This window comes from Homo sapiens, chromosome 7, assembly GCF_000001405.40.
Source record: "Homo sapiens chromosome 7, GRCh38.p14 Primary Assembly".
NCBI lineage: Eukaryota > Metazoa > Chordata > Mammalia > Primates > Hominidae > Homo > Homo sapiens.
This window is the reverse complement of record NC_000007.14, coordinates 2,207,620-2,223,148: the sequence shown is the minus strand read 5'-3', so window position 1 is coordinate 2,223,148 and position 15,529 is coordinate 2,207,620. Positions and strand designations below refer to the sequence as shown.

The following is a 15,529-nucleotide window of genomic DNA, read 5'->3' as shown; positions in this document are numbered from 1 at the left end:
CGGACAGAGCGTAATTAGACAGGATTTGCTGGTGCTATGAAAGCTCAGCTTCTCCCCAAGGTCAATGCTGAATTTTAGATTTCCCATGCCCCCTCTCCCTGCAGAGGCAACTGCTGAGCAGACGGTGTGATAAATGTGTGTGTGATCTGTGCCAAGTGCCCTTCCTGGGAGCCCTGACCTCGCACAGTGCTCACCGTCATGGTGCCACAGCGGGGGTGCCAACGCTGGGGCTGGGTCCCAGGTCCCGTCCTGGTTCTGCCTATGACTTGGCTCATGGGTCCTGCTCGGCTCTTTTTTGTGCCTCGGCATGTTCTGAGAGAGGTGTGGGGGTGAGGGCTCCCCGCTGACCCTCCCGTGGGCGGCACGTGGCATCTGACTCTTGCTCTCTTAACAGCGTGAGGTCGACCGCAACCAGGAGCTCCTGACGCGCATCCGGCAGCTTCAGGAGCGGGAGGCCGGGGCGGAGGAGAAGATGCAGGAGCAGCTGGAGCGCAACAGGCAGTGTCAGCAGAACTTGGATGCTGCCAGCAAGAGGCTGCGTGAGAAAGAGGACAGTCTGGCCCAGGCTGGCGAGGTGAGCGGGGCCTCTGCTGCGCAGGGAGCTGTTTTCCCGAGGAGAGGGAGTGCATGCTCTTGTTTGCCACTGCAGTGCCCGCTTGTGTTTTCACTTGTGCTTCCCACACGGGCAGCTGCGTTTTGTACATAGTTGTCATCAGTAGAAGTATTAATTTTCCATTCTGTAGTTTTCAGTTAAAAAGTTGAGACTTTGGGCCGGGCGCGGTGGCTCACGCCTGTAATCCCAGCACTTTGGGAGGCCGAGGTGGGTGTATCATCTGAGGTTGGGAGTTGGAGACCAGCCTGACCAACATGGTGAAACCCCATCTCTACTAAAAATACAAAAATTAGCCATGCGTGGTGGTGCGCACCTGTAGTCCCAGCCTGTGGGACTCGGGAGGCTGAGGCAGGAGAATCGCTTGAACCCAGGAGGTGGAGGTTGCAGTGAGCTCAGATCACACCATTGCACTCCAGCCTGGGCAACACAGCAAGACTCTGTCTCAAAAAAAAAAAAAAAAGTTAAGCACTTTTTTGCCTTTGTAATTATGAATTTAAATGGATGATGAATCTGTTTTTTGTTGTTTGTGGACGTTTAGTGTGTTTGTGTTCGCTCATGTATGTATGCGACAGGTAGCCCTTCCCTCAGCCCTCGCTTCTGTTGACTTTGGACAGACCCCTAGGACTGGGTTATAAGGTCCCTAGCGATGGCGGTCTCTGCAGCCGTTGTGCTCAGAGGCCTGGCTGAGGGCTCCAATTTCCCCGTAGCCTTCCCTGTCGTGGATGGTGGTCTTTTCTGGAAATAGCTGTTGTTTTGTCAGGAGGCTTAAGGAGGCACGTCTGGATTTGCATATCTTTGACTGTCTGCAAGGTCTACAGGCATCTGATGGCGTCGGATAATTGCCTCTGAACTGGAGCCTGTGTGAACTGCAGTCCTGGTGAAGGTTGCTTGCATTTTAGAAACAGCCCAGACATGGGCACTGGTGGAAATTGGAATCTTCTGACCTCTCCTGTCCTTTGTCTGTGGCGATCAAGATCGCTGGTGCCAAGAGGAAACATGAAAATCTGCTGGTGTGGGGGTGGAGGCGTGGTAGGGGTGGGGTGGGCGTGCAGCGGGGGTCCTGGAGGGGTCCAGAAACTGGCCGCGGGTCCTTCCTGTGGCCGTGCTGGGGAGGCGTGTTCAGGCTGTTCCCCTATCTGCTTCTGGAGGGAACGTTGGCAGGAGAGGAGGCGTGATTGGCTCCCGAGAAGCTGCTCTTGCCTTGCCCATGCTCTGGGTTCCAGTTCCCATGTGCTGGGCTGTACTGGAGTTGGGCCGGGGGCTGTCCCCGCTGCCTGCGGGCACCTGTGGTTCCATGGGGGAGGGTGAGTCGTGCCGAGCACTTCATGAGGGGCAGAGGAGCAGGAGACTGCAGGAGCCGCAGGGCGGTGCCCGGTGGGGTGGGGCATAGTGAGGGGAAGATGGTGGCGCTGCAGGTGCTGCTGCTTTGGCCTGTCATGTCTAAGCCGAGGTGGCCGCTCCTCAGGGAAGCCCTCCCTGCGCACTAGGCCTTGACTGCCTTCTCCTGTCACAGGGTCCTGATTGTCACGCTCCTTACTCTGGAATTATCTTATGCGCCTCTTCCTTGCCAACTGTCCGGCGTCCCCTACAACACGGGTGACCCTGTGGGCAGGTGGGCTCGGCCCTGCATCTGGCCTTGCCCCTGGCACACGGTGCGTATTAATTGAGTTCGGAAGACCTCTGGGAGGATGTGTTTATTGTTAGTATGTTTTTAATACCTTTCTTCTTTGTTGACTCCCAGGTTGATGCTTCACTGTTGTGGTGAAGTAAACCGTACATATTGTGGGCATGTGGGGAGCACGCAGCCCCCATGCGGGCCTTCCCAGAGCGGCGTGGGGTGGACAGCGGTGATAGGCTTCAGCAGGCCCTAAGCTGGGCACGTTCTCAGGGACAGGGAAATGAGTGCTGAGGCCTCCTTGTTTGCGGAGGGTGCCGCCCAGCCAGGCCCACCCAGGTCGTTTGCTGTGTGAGTTTGCCATTGTCCTGTCCTGGGTGCGTGGTCCCCAGGGCTGACATCACGCCCGTGTGTTTCCGTGTGTTAACTTACAGTGATGCTTCTCAGGGTCTGTCCGGCTTTTCACATTGGCTCGACCCACGTGCTCTTTCTTTCTCTGAGGACACCTGGGGTTTTCTGAGCTTTTCCAGAGGGTTAGGGTCCTCAGAAGGTCGCCTGGTGGGAGTGGTCAGGAGGAAGCCTGGCGGTTCTGTCGCGTGCGGGTTCCATGATGTCAGGCAGACCTGCTGTCCTGGAGGCTGCCAGAGGGGCTGCTGGCTTTGCTCAGGGGCCGCCTCCCCAGGGGCGCTCCTGCCCGTGCCGCGTGCTCCCGTTCCAAGCGCACGGCCTCCCCAGCAGGTACCGCCCTGCCCCTTGCACAGCCTCCGTCTTTGTCCTGTTGGTTGGCCAGTGCCTTGCTGTGGTGTGAGGGCGATGTCGCTAGCAAACAGCCGTCATGGTAGCATTGGGGTGGCTAGGGAGGGATGACAGGAGCCACGGTTGGAGGGAAGACCGAAGTGATGGTGTGGCGGGTATGTGGATGTCTGATGGGACTTTGGGAGCGTGGGGCACTGGCACAGAGACTGCCAGGTGCCAGGCCTGAGAGTCCGGGCCCATCTTGGCTGGTGGAGGCTTTTGCTTCTGAAGCCGCCTCACCAAGCCTCCTTTCCAGGGCCCCTGGCTGGGGCCCGGTCTCCTCTGTCAGCTCCTGGGTGGCTTGTGGCAGGCTCTGGGCTGTGCTGCTCTGGAGCACCAGGAGGAGGGTGGGCCCTGCGTGTGAGCGTCTGCCTGACCTGCATCCTCCAGAAGGAGGTGGCTCTGCCCCCTGGCCCTCTGCTCCCCTGCTCCTCTTCCCCCTGCCCTCTGCCCCCCTTGCCCCCTTGCCATCTGCCCCCCTACCGCTCTGCCCCCCTACCCCTCTGCCCGATGCCCCTCTGCCCCCTTATTCCTCTGCCCCTCTGCCTCCTGCCCTGATTATAGCACGTGGGTGGTGTCGCCTCTCCACTCTTCTCATCTCCATGTGCAGGCTCCTTCCACGCACGGGCTCCACTCACTGAGCGGCTCTCTGGTCCCCTCTACTTTTAGACCATCAACGCACTGAAGGGGAGGATCTCGGAACTGCAGTGGAGCGTGATGGACCAGGAGATGCGGGTGAAGCGCCTGGAGTCGGAGAAGCAGGAGCTGCAGGAGCAGCTGGACCTGCAACACAAGTGGGCGGGGCCAGGGTGTGGGGTCGGGGGTCGGGTCACGTGTGGGGGCATGCGTCCCACCTCTCTCCTGGTGGCTGGGTGGGATGTGGATACACTCCCAGATGCTGTCCTAATTCACAGACACTCAAGAGGGGCAGATGCTGAGGCCTCTGGAGCCAGGACCGTGAGCCCAGAAAGTGTCCTGATGTTCCTGGAGCAGAATGGGGGCAGCAACTTCCTCCCCCTCCTTCTTAGAGAGGGCTCCTGCAGAGCCAGATTTTACTTTATTTTTTGAGACAGGGTCTCACTCTGTCGTCCAGCCTGGAGTGCAATGGTGTAATCATGGCTCACTGTAGCCTCAACCTCCTGGGCTCAAGTGATCCTCCTGCCTTAGCCTCCCGAGTAACTGGGTCTGCAAGCATGTGCAGTACACCTGGCTAATTTTTTTTTTTTTGAGATTGAGTCTCGCTGTGTCACCCAGGCTGGAGTGCAGTGGCACCATCTCGGCTCACTGCAGCCTCCGCCTCCTGGGTTCAGTGATTCTCCTGCCTCGGCCTCCTGAGTAGCTGGGATTAGTTTTGCACCTGGCTAATTTTAAAAAACGTTTTGTAGAGATGGCGGTCTCGCTTTGTAACCCAGGCTGGTCTTGAGCTCCTGGCCTCAAGCGATCCTCCTGCCTCAGCCTCCTAGAGTGCTGGGATCCCAGGCTGAGCCGCCGTACCCTGCTGAGGGCTAGGTTGAAAGGGCAGCATCATGTGCCTTGGAGGTGGAGGGGGCGTGGCTGGGAAGGGATGTCCAGGCACAGGGCTGAGCCGAGGCACAGACGTGAGAGCCTTGTCTGGAGGTGCAGTCAGGAGACTGTGGGCATCTCCTGCAGACTTGGACCCTTCCATCAGCAGATGTGGTTTTAGGAGAGTTCTAGTTCCGTAGTAGAGAGGAGAGGTCATTCCTGGGTGGGGCCCTACCGCAGCTGCACCAGGGCTGGGGGTTGCCGCAGGCAGGTGAGAGCTGTGGGTTCCACTGTTGGAGAGGTCCTTGCAGGTGGCCTGGGCTCACTACGCACCCCGTCTGAATGAGCAGACTGAGGCCTGAGAGCCAGCCCACAGGGGCTGGGGCCTGGGACCTTGGGGTACCCATGCAGTGGAGTGTGTGTTGGCGGGGGGCGGGGGGTCTGTGCCGTGGGAGGTCCTGAACCTTGGGGTGGGAATGAACGTATGTGGGTCTGTGCTGGGGCGGGTCTCAGGCTGAGGAGAATTGTTGGCCTTGCCGCATGCCTGTTTCTGTGTGTGATGTATTTTTCTTTCAATAGAAAATGCCAGGAAGCCAATCAGAAAATCCAGGAACTCCAGGCCAGCCAAGAAGCAAGAGCAGACCACGAGCAGCAGATTAAGGTGAGTCACTCCCTGTCAGTGCCTTGTGGACATCCCTGTGGTGGCCTTGACTCTCCTGCCCCTGTCGGCCTTTCTGCGCTGGTGCCGAGCTCCGTGGTCCTTCTGTGAGGTTAGCTGCTGCCCTGTGTGTTGGGCACTGTGCTGGGCACCAGGGATGCCATGGTGAATGAGGCAGATGCTTCCGCTCTTGGGAGCGTGTATTCTAGAGGAGGGAGACTGACCACAAACACCAAGAGAAAATGTCCGTGTGTGTGATGACGTCAAGTGCTGATGAGCGTGAGAAGATGCTACAGGCATAGAGAGGTTGAGAAAGCTGCCCACAGTTGCACAGCTGGAGCTGGGTCTCAGTCAGGGCATCTGACTCAAGCTCAGGCTGTGCCATTTCCCTGCGGAGGACGTGCCAGGGAGACGTTGACTCCAGATCCCTCTCCTGCCTCCTGTTGCCTGGAGAGCAGCCTCCAGACCCTGTGCTCTGGCCGTGCCCTCTCAGCCCTTATGCACCCTCACCTCCAGGCTTCACACCAGCTCTTCCTGGCTGCAGAGCTGCCCGGCACCCCCAGCCTGGCCTCTGCCATGTCCGCTCCTGGTGGTGGTCCCTGGCCCCTCGCAGCCCTCAGTCCACCTCTCAGGATTTTCTGGCTGGCAGGGCGATGGACTCTGTTAGTGTTTGTTGAATGACCGTCTGGTTTGGTCGTGGTTTCATACTCTGCCTGTTCAGTGACTTGCTGCTCACAGATGCCAGCTGTCTGTGTCCCAAGGGGACTGGGTACCGTAGGGAAAAGCCTGTCCTCACTATTGGAAAGACTGAGCTGTCACACGTGCTGCTAGAGTGGCAGAAGTGGGCTTGACACGGGAGGGGTGGGATGTTTTACCATGGAGTGCCATCCTGGACCAGACTTGAGACAGACTTTTGCTCCTGGAGAGCTCCCCGAGGGCAGGTGGTGAGCACAGCAGCCCGGCAGTGTGCAGTGTGAATGCCAGCTCCCAGTACGCGGAGGGCTGGGAGGTCGGCGCTGGGAAGAGCTGCCCTGGAGTGGATGCTGAGGCTCAGTATTGGAAGCAGCTTCGAGGCCCCTGGTGCAGCCCAGGAAGGCCTCCCACAGGAGAGTCCTGAGGCATGGAGGCTGCTGAGGACCTGGGGCAGTTTAGCGAAGGAACTTTGTGACCTCAATGACTTTAATTTTTAATGGATGGTATTTTCTAGAGCAATTTTAGGTTCACAGCAAAATGAGCAGAAGGTAAAGCTCCTGTGTACCCCCTGCGCCCGCTCCTACACACACAGCCTACCCTGGTAGAGTGGAGCACGTGTGACGGTGATGAACCTGCCTGGACACATCAGTGTCACGCAGAGTCCACGGGTCATGCGAGGGTCACTCTTGGAGTGGGACAGTGTATGGTTCGGGCAGATGTAAAATGTTCTATATTTGCCATTAGAGTGTCACACAGAAAAGTTTTACTGCCTAAAAATCCTCTCTGCTCCCCCAGTCAATCCCTGCCTCTCTCCTTCTGAGCCCTTGACAACCCCTTCCTTTCCCAGAACGTCCTGTGGTTGGATCCTGCAGTGTGTATAGCCGTTGCAGACCGGCTTCCTTCTCTTAGCCGTGTGCGTGTGATTTTCTCCAGGTCTCTTCGTGGCTCATTTTTCCCTTCTTCTCTGTCCCTGGCCTCCATCAGGATCTGGAGCAGAAGCTGTCCCTGCAAGAGCAGGATGCAGCGATTGTGAAGAACATGAAGTCTGAGCTGGTACGGCTCCCTAGGCTGGAACGGGAGCTGAAGCAGCTGCGGGAGGAGAGCGCGCACCTGCGGTGAGGGGTTGCGGGGGATGGGGCAGCCGCCTCGAGTGAGTCTGGGTTTGTGCACATGGAGCCCACTGTGCAGACCCTGTAGGGGCAGGGCTCCCGGGCTCTTGGCCTTATCCCTAGGGTGTGTGGCTATTTGAGCGACTCTTTGTGGCACTGCCAGGGAGATGAGAGAGACCAACGGGCTGCTCCAGGAAGAGCTGGAAGGGCTGCAGAGGAAGCTGGGGCGCCAGGAGAAGATGCAGGAGACGCTGGTTGGCTTGGAGCTGGAGAACGAGGTGAGGGCCTGTGTGGTGTGCGGTTCCTGTGGGTGTCCTCTGCCCTGCCTGGAGGAGCCTCGGTATTGTGGTCACGCCCACCAGCTGCTCACCTACAACATGGAGGTTGCTGTGATGGGGTGGGAGGCAGAATCGTGGTCCCCAGAGAGGTCCATGCCTCATCCTCAGAGCCTGTGAACACAGCACCTTCCCTGGCAGGGCGAATGAGGTGACTGGTCAGCTGGCCCACGGCGGGGAGGGGCTCCTGGGCCATCCTGGGGGCTCAGAGTGATGTGAGAGGGACTTGGCAGCTCTTGCTGGGTGTGGAGATGGAGGACGGGCCACAAGCCAAGGAATGTGGGTCATCTGGAAGCTGGAAAGAGCAGGGAAGTGGACTGTCCCCTGGAATCTGCAGAAGGAACACAACCCTGCCAACACCAGGATTCCAGCTCGGGGAGACCCGTTTTGGATTTCCGATCTAAAGTACTATAAAATATTACATTTGTGGGCTTTTTTTTTTTTTTTTTTTGAGATGGAGTCTCGCCCTGTCCCCAGGCTGGAATGCAATGGTGCGATCTCGGCTCACTGCAACCTCCGCCTCCCGGGTACAAGCGAGTCTCCTGCCTCAGCCTCCTGAGTAGCTGGGACTACAGGCGTGCGCCACCACACCCGGCTAATTTTTGTATTTTTAGTAGAGATAGGGTTTCACCACGTTGGCTAGGATGGTCTTGATCTCTTGGAACTCGTGATCCACCCTCCTCAGCCTCCCAAAGTGCTGGGATTATAGACGTGAGCCACCATGCCCGGCCAGGCTTTTTAAATGTTAAATTTTTTTTTGTAGAGATGGGGTCTCCCTGTGTTGCCTAGGCTGGTCCTGAACTCCTGGGCTCAAGTGACCCTCCCGCCTTTGCCTCCCAAAGTGCTGAGATGACAGGCGTGAGCCTCTGTGCCGCACCAATTTGTGTTGTTTGAAGCCACTTAGTTTGTGGTGATCTGTTTCGGTTGCAGCAGGAAACTGGTACAGAGGGTGAGTCAGAATGCGTGTGGCACTGTGAGGATCAGGGCTGGCAGGGCCCTGTGCTGGGGGTGTTCTGTCTTCACCGCGGCAGTTGGTAGGAAGGTGTCAGTGCTGGAAAACATCCTGCAGTCATGTTGCGGGCAGAGGAGGAAACTGAGGTTCAGAGAAGCTCCCTCTCTTGCCCGGTGCACAGCAAGTTTGGACCAGAATTTAGGCCTTCTGGCCCCTGCCTGGGTCCTCTGTCCTTCATGCCACTTCCCTGTGGCCACAGCCACTCCCCTCTGTGCCTGGCACACCTATGCCGCCTTTCTCCGGTGGTTGTGGGGCCTGGCAGGAGGGCAGACTCCATCTGCAGTGCTCTGCAGCTGCCCAGCTGTCCAGCTGGCCACTTCCAGAGTCCCCTTGGGTGGCGTGGCGTCTCTGTCCTCTTCAGAGCTGTGATACAGCCAAGGTCGTTTTGGGGCCTTGGCCCTGTGACCCACGGTGAGGTGGCTCCCTGTCAGCGGGGGTATCTGGCAGGGACTCTTCTCTCAGGTGCTGGGTTCTGTAGGAGCTTAGCCTGAAAAGACAGCTCCCATGCGACATCTTTTCTCTCTCCCGCGGTGTAATTTATTGTTTGATGGTTGAAGAGTTGGGGCTCTCAAGCCACATTCCGTAGTTGGGTGCTTGCTGCTCCATGTCCCTGGGCCAGCTCCTTCATCTCCCTGTCTGTCTCCCCGTCTGCACAGGGAGGAGTGGTGCTGGCTGCCTTGTCAGGACTGTGAGGCTCACATGAGTCTATGCAAAGTGCTCAGAGCAGTGCCTGGCGCGTAGCGAATGTTCTGTAGCGTTGGCTGTCATATAGTTACTAGTCAAGTGCGTGCCTGCGCATAGGAGGGGCTGTGAGAATACCTCACTGACTTGCCGAGTGGAGCGTTGATAACAGCATGGTGCTTGGCACTGGGTGGAGGTGAAGCGAGGCCAGAACAAAGGCACAGAGTCCCTGCCCTCAGATTGCTTCCGTCCTAGAAGGGCCGTGAGACTCACCTCTTTGGGATGCGGCTCAGCATGGGACAGGCATGTGACACAGAGGGGTGGGCTGGCCTGTAGGCAGTGTCTCACCCTCCCTCATGCTCCAGGGTGGCTGCCCTCCTCTCCTAGGGCCTGCTGGTCCTGGTCTGCTGTGTGATGGCAGGAAGTTTGGCTCCAGGACTGAGTCTGTCTGCTCCAGGGCTTGGTTCCCTGAGGAGCCCCTGGAAGATGGGGGAGGGATGAGTCCTAACGGCTCAAGGACCCGAGGCTGCTCCCTGGGGCACAGTCAACCCCAGGATCCTTTCTGAGGCTGTCTGCCTTCTCCCTCCACAGCCACACGTTGCTTTTAGCTTGCTGGGATTCACACTTGAATTTACGGGGCCAGGAAGGAGTGAGGCAGGAAGCGCCAGTGTGGCTTCTGCAGTTGGGGAATAATAACCCGGCCACTTCCAAGCAGACTTGGAGCATGTAGCGCCCAGCTCAGAGATGAGGGCAGGCTCTCCTGAGAGGTCAGGGACTTAGCACCGTGATCATGATTGTCAGTCTTATGTGATGATCCTGTGGCAGGTGATGACAGGGTCTGTGCTTTTGTTGTCTTTTCAGAGGCTGCTGGCCAAGCTGCAAAGCTGGGAGAGACTGGACCAGACCATGGGCCTGAGCATCAGGTAGGGAAGGGCAGGTGTCTCCGGGGTCCCGCCTTCTTTGAAGGGTCCTGGGTGAAGAGCAGAGCCTGCTTCCGGCTCACCAGCGCAGTCTCCAGCCAGGCATCTCTGTGGCTGGTGCGGGGCATTTGTCCTGGGCTGCTCAGGTTTAATGAGGCCTTTCCCAGCGGATGGGGCAGTGGAACCCAGTGACTCATCCTGCTGAAGCCTTAGTAACATCTTCATTCAGAAGCGGAATATCCACAGCAAACCAGTGGCAGGCGTCTGATTGCCCTGCGTTGCGGGGCTTTGTGAAAGGACTCTTTTTGGTGTATACCGAGGAAATAATTGCTTTTGGGGGAAATCATTCATTTTAGGGAACTGTAACCAGTGGAGATGAACTGAGTTTTTAGAATTAAGAAAAACCCACTGTATTAGGCTGTTCTTGCATTGCTATAAAGAAATACCAGAGACTGGGTAATTATGAAGAGAAGAGGTGGAATTGGCTCACGCTTCTGCAGCTGTACAGGAAGCATGGTGCTGGCATCTGCTCGGCTTCTGGTGAAGCCGCAGGGAGCTTTCAGTCATGGCGGAAGGTGAAGGGGGAACAGGCACGCCGCAATGCAAAAACAGGAATGAGAGAGCGAGAGAGTGAGCGAGCGTGAGTAGTGTTGGGAGGGAGGTGCCACACACTTCTAAATGACCAGATCTCATGAGAACTCACTATCATGAAGACAGACCCAAGCTGTGAGGGATCCACTCGAGGATCCAAACACTTCCCACGGGGCCCCACTTTCAGCACTGGGGATTACAATTCAACATGAGGCATGGGGCAGGGACACAGATCCAAACGGTTCTCACCCACCATAGTGGAAGACGATTGTCTGGTGCTTGTAGCAGCCTCTTCACGCAGTCTGTGCCAAGCTGAGTGCCAGCGCTTGGGTGGTGGGATGTGGGGTGGAGCTGCCGGGGGACCACCCTGGGTGCTGGGGATGGTATTCTTATAGACAGGTAGCTGGACCGTTCCCAGGTCTGGTCCTGTCTGTCCTCCTGCCCCATCCTTCCCAGGACCCTGTGCTCATCTTTCTCCAGCAGCCGCTCAGTTGGCCCCTGCCCTTCAGTCGCGGTGCCCCTGCAGGTGACCACCTCCTGGCAGCTCTGGTCTGGACCCCTCTTCCTGGTTGCCCTGTGTGCGCCAGGTCTCGAGGAGGTGCAGGAGCGATGCTTTTGAAGGAGCCATCAGAGCCCGGGGCTCAGGGCCCGAGGTGCTGGTGCCGAGGCGGCCTCTTATTGTGTTTGCTTGTGAGATTTCAAGGCTTCCCGCTTCTTGCCTGTCTTTCCTGCTGTTCTTGGAAACTAGGCTGAGACTGAGACTCTCTGAAAGAGCTATCCTTTGACCACACCGTCCGACTGCTGGTTCTGGAATCCATTACCTTCTCATCAGCATTACTGGCTTCAGTTCTCTGTCACCTGAAAGTGCCTCTTCATTTTCTTTGAGCTTTGCTAAGTCAGAGCACGGCCCGGGCTGCTGTCTCCTCTTGAACTCCCCCTGTAGAACACAGACTTCTGTAGGGCCGGCCTCAGCGGGGCCTAAATGCTTTGTGCTTCTGTCTGTTCTCTGGGCTTATTAATTGCTTGGAAGGCGACCCTTCTGCTCCCAGGCATACTCTGGCCAGATGAGAAACCTCTGTGACTTCTTTCCTGTGAAGGGACATCAGAGGCCCCCACGTGCCTGATGGGCCCGGCCCTGCTGGAGGGTCCAGTGTGCAGTTTGCCCTGGAGCACTGGGTGTCAGTCGGGCACGAGACCTGGCACAGCTGGCTGCTGTCTCTGGCTGGTTTCAAAGTACTGTGGATCCTTTCAGCCCTGTTCCCGCATCTGAGCGCCCTGCCTGGGCATGGCTTGTGTGAGGGCGAGCTGGCCTGGGGGTGCTGCCTGGGCGTGGCCAGCATGAGGGCATGCTGGCCCCAGGGGTTCTGCCTGCCTGTGTCTTCTGTGTTCACTCTGCCCTCCCTGGTGGCCAGGCCCTGGATGAGGGAGAGGAGGGGTTGGTCTGTAGGGCTGGTGGAGGTGGGCTGCCTGTGCCCACCACCAGCTTAAAGTGGGCGGGAAGCAAGTGGCATGCATGTGTGGCGCCCTGCAGCTTTGATGAGGAACACAGATAGTTCTTCGGAGGCTGGATTCAAGGCTCCCCCTGCCCCCCGCCACCAACAGTAAGACCTGTGTCAAGTCACTGCGCTGCTCTGGGCCAGTGTTCTCTTTATTGAAAGGGGGACACGGAGCTCTTCTCCCCAACTGCGTGTGAAGATCCGACGTGATCGTGTACTTGTGGAGGGCCCTGTGAGTTGGAGAGGGGCTGGTGCGAGCGTCCTCTCTGAGCAGCCGGAGGCTGATGGCCAGGAAGGTGGATGGAGCCGTCCTCGCTGTGGGGGTCGACCCCTAGTCTCCTGCGTTGGCCTTGGCTGTGGGCCTGGTAGAGGGCAGGTTTCCTCACGTGCTGGGTTGCCTGCCATGCCTGGGCCCCTTCAGGGCTCCCCGCTGCTCCTTGTGTTGTGCTCCACAGGGCGGGTGTCTGAGTGTGGTTCTGCATCAGGCCGTGATCTCGGGTGACTCACGCTGGACGTCAGTGGGGTGGTGCTCATGCCGCAGTCCACGGGAATGCGGGCTGGCGGTCCCGAATACGGCTCCTAGAGAGTCCACGGGAATGCGGGCTGGCGGTCCCGAATACGGCTCCTAGAGAGTCCACGGGAATGCGGGCTGGCGGTCCCGAATACGGCTCCTAGAGAGTCCACGGGAATGCGGGCTGGCGGTCCCGAATACGGCTCCTAGAATCACCGGGAGGGTTTGGTAAACGTGTGCATTTCTGGCTGCGCACAGTGGCTCACACCTGTAGTCCCAGTGGTTTGGGAGGCTGCCGCAGGGGGATTGCTCGAGCCTAGATGTTTGAGATCAGCCTGGGGAACGCAGTTGAGACCCCGTGTGTACCAAAACAAAAATTAGCGGTGCTCAGTGGTGTGCACCTGTAGTCCCAGCTACTCAGGAGGCTAAGGTGGGAGGATCACCTGAGCCCAGGAGGAGCTGTGATTGCACCACTGCACTCCAGTGACTGAGTGAGTCCCTGTCTCTAAAAAACAAAAACAAAAACCAAAGTGGATTTCTGGGTAAACCTGAGATGCACTGGGCTTTCTTTTCTGTTTTTAGGGACCAGGTTTGGGGTAGTTCTTAGGAATTTCCCGTGTCTGGCAGCATTGAATGTGGTGGTGAAGTCGGCGACAGGGACACAGATGTGGTGAGAAGCTGGGGCCACGGGGGCCCCCATGGGAGGGCTGAGTGCATTTGCTGTTCTTGTGTGGAGACATGCGTGCCTCTGTGGGCGAGCTTGGGGATCCCCTCCTCTCAGCCGTGGGGACCTGAGGTGACATCAGATGTCCTGGAAGCAGAGGGCTCTGTGGCTGGGAGTGCCCTGGGCCTGTGCCGGGTGGGCTGGCGTCTGCTTGCCTTCGGGCCCAGGCTTTGCTGGGATTTGGGGCTTGCCGAGGCCCGAGGCCCCGTGGGTGTGGAGGAGCTGCTGCCACTAGGTGGTGCCCCCGCCTTGGTGATCCTTCCCACAGCAGCTTCCCTTGGGTCTCTCTGGCCTAGTGGACCGCTGCTCTCCCACCATGGGACTTGCTTGCTGACACTGGGGTTTTGGTCGATGGGGATGTGAGGGGCTTGTGGCCACTGTTCCTGACTGCCTTCAGGGGGGCGCTTCTGGCTGTCCCATGCCTGCCTTGTTTCTGACCAGTGTCCTGGGGCCCTCAGGCCTGTGGGCTCTGGGCTGTGAGCTCCTGGCGTTGAGGTCAGACGTCCTTTGTGTGGGCCCTTCCCTAAGGACAGGGTGCTGACGTCCTGCAGTCCTCAGAGGGCTCTTCGGCCTCGCCCCGGGCTTGGATAAACCCTGGCTGAGCCCCAGGAGAGAGTGGCCTGGTCACCCTCTTCCCCATGTAGGGCTTCTTATGTCTTAGGAGAGGAGGCTGGGCAGGCTGGCTGGGGTGGGTCAGTGAAACCATGGGAAGACCCTGTGGAACGAGGTCCTTATGTGTCACACAGGCCTGGGCACATGTGACATGTGCAGCACACGGGTTCACGCAGGCTGGGGGCATGTTAGTTTCTACGACTTTGAAGTCACAGGCAAGGAGGGACACAGTGCGTGTGGATGAGCCTGCGTGAACACACGTGGGGAAGGGCAGGATGCCAGTGCCGGGAGTGTGGTGTGGACACCCTCATCCTTAGGGTGCTGGAAGTTGGGCTGAGGGAGTTAGCAGCAGTGCGAGGCGTGTGTCTGGAGGCAGCGATGTGATCAGCTTGGTCTCCCAGGAGCATGGTCTGTCTCGGGGAGTGACTTACGGGTGAGGAAAGCGGAGGCCAGCACACACCCTTTGAGGTACGTGTCATCCTCGGCAAGACCTCGGGCACAGGAGGGGGAGGAGGAGTAATACAGAGAGGCCAGTGGGAAAGATGGCGTGAGGCTGGAGCCCATCTGGGAATGCAGGATGCTTGCTTCTCTTTGGAAAATCACCTGTTTCAGTAGAATGAAAGGGGGTGCAGGCCATCTCTGTAGGCGAACAGCACAACCATTTGTAACAATCCAAGACTCGTTTGTGATTTAAAGTTCTCAGCAAGCTAGGAAGAGAAGAGAACTTCCTCAACCAGCTAAATGATACCTGCAGAAAACCAGCTGATATAATACAAGGTGGACGGACTGCATCCCTGACATGGAGACCAGGCAGGGTGTCTGTTCCCTGCACCCCTGGTTGCACTGTACTGGAGATCTTCACCAGTATAATTAGGGAAGCAAAAAGAAAAGATGGACAGACTGGAAAGGAGGAAGTAAAACTGTACCTGGAGACAACATAATTATCTATAGAAATTCCCAGGGAATAAATGACAAGCCAGTAGGACTAAACCGTGAGGTTTACAGGGTCACGGGATACAAGGACAATGTACCAAAATGGGTTATGTTTCTGTATACTAGCAGTGAGCCACTCGAGGTACATACCATGTATGATGGCATCAAAGTCCATGAAATATTAGGAATGCATATAAGAAAATCTGTGTAAGATTTGTACACTGAGAAGCTTAAGACGCAACTGAGACATTAAAGATCACCTGATGTAGAAAAATGGAGACATTGTAAGAGGAAAAATGAACTCTTTTCCCCTCTGCTCTCACACAGCCTCTGACACCAGATACTGGAAGGTTTCCCCCACACCAAGCAGTTCTCCAGGGGTCACCAGCTGGATGTCCTGCAGCCTCATCTGCACACTCTCCACCTGGAGTTCCATCAGCTTCCAATGGGTCAGGGCCCAGTCCCACACATCTGTGCCCCCTTCAGATTCCAGGTGCAAGTAGTAGGCCGGCATCTCTGCTTCATTTTACGGTTTTCTTCTCTTCCTCTTTCACTGACATCAGCTGTACTTCTGACTGACAGGCTGTTAAACGAGGCCCCTGCTACCCACTCCTTGGGTTTCATTAATTGGCTAGTGTGGCTCACAGAACTCGGGAAGATGCTTTGTTATGTTTAGTCATGTCTTATAAAGGATGTTACGAATAATACAGGTGAACAGGTTGGCAGAG

General features: G+C 57.3%; 1 protein-coding gene across 5 annotated transcripts in view, besides 2 other annotated features; it reads left to right on the top strand.

The window, feature by feature from the left end:
• MAD1L1 (mitotic arrest deficient 1 like 1) overlaps positions 1-15,529 on the top strand; it is a 417,151-nt gene that overhangs the window by 9,797 nt on the left and 391,825 nt on the right. For 4 of the 5 annotated variants that reach the window (NM_001304523.2, NM_001013837.2, NM_001013836.2 and 1 more), the window contains 6 exons: positions 395-574; positions 3,693-3,817; positions 5,106-5,187; positions 6,862-6,992; positions 7,150-7,264; positions 9,876-9,937. In NM_001304523.2, coding sequence (NP_001291452.1) covers positions 395-574; positions 3,693-3,817; positions 5,106-5,187; positions 6,862-6,992; positions 7,150-7,264; positions 9,876-9,937 — 695 coding nt within the window. Of the gene's footprint in view, positions 1-394; positions 575-2,126; positions 2,266-3,692; positions 3,818-5,105; positions 5,188-6,861; positions 6,993-7,149; positions 7,265-9,875; positions 9,938-15,529 lie in introns of all 5 variants that reach the window. The other variant, NM_001304524.2, reaches the window with a different exon arrangement.
• Positions 13,223-13,372: an enhancer, noted in NCBI's record as "active region_25510". NCBI's record gives its function as "activates an Ori minimal core promoter by ATAC-STARR-seq in GM12878 lymphoblastoid cells {active_cell/tissue: GM12878}" and the evidence as "EXISTENCE:reporter gene assay evidence [ECO:0000049][PMID:35858748]".
• Positions 13,868-14,401: an enhancer, noted in NCBI's record as "H3K27ac-H3K4me1 hESC enhancer chr7:2248383-2248916 (GRCh37/hg19 assembly coordinates)". NCBI's record gives its function as "activates a minimal SCP1, AML or CMV promoter by ChIP-STARR-seq in naive H9 embryonic stem cells {active_cell/tissue: H9 hESC(naive)}" and the evidence as "EXISTENCE:reporter gene assay evidence [ECO:0000049][PMID:30033119]".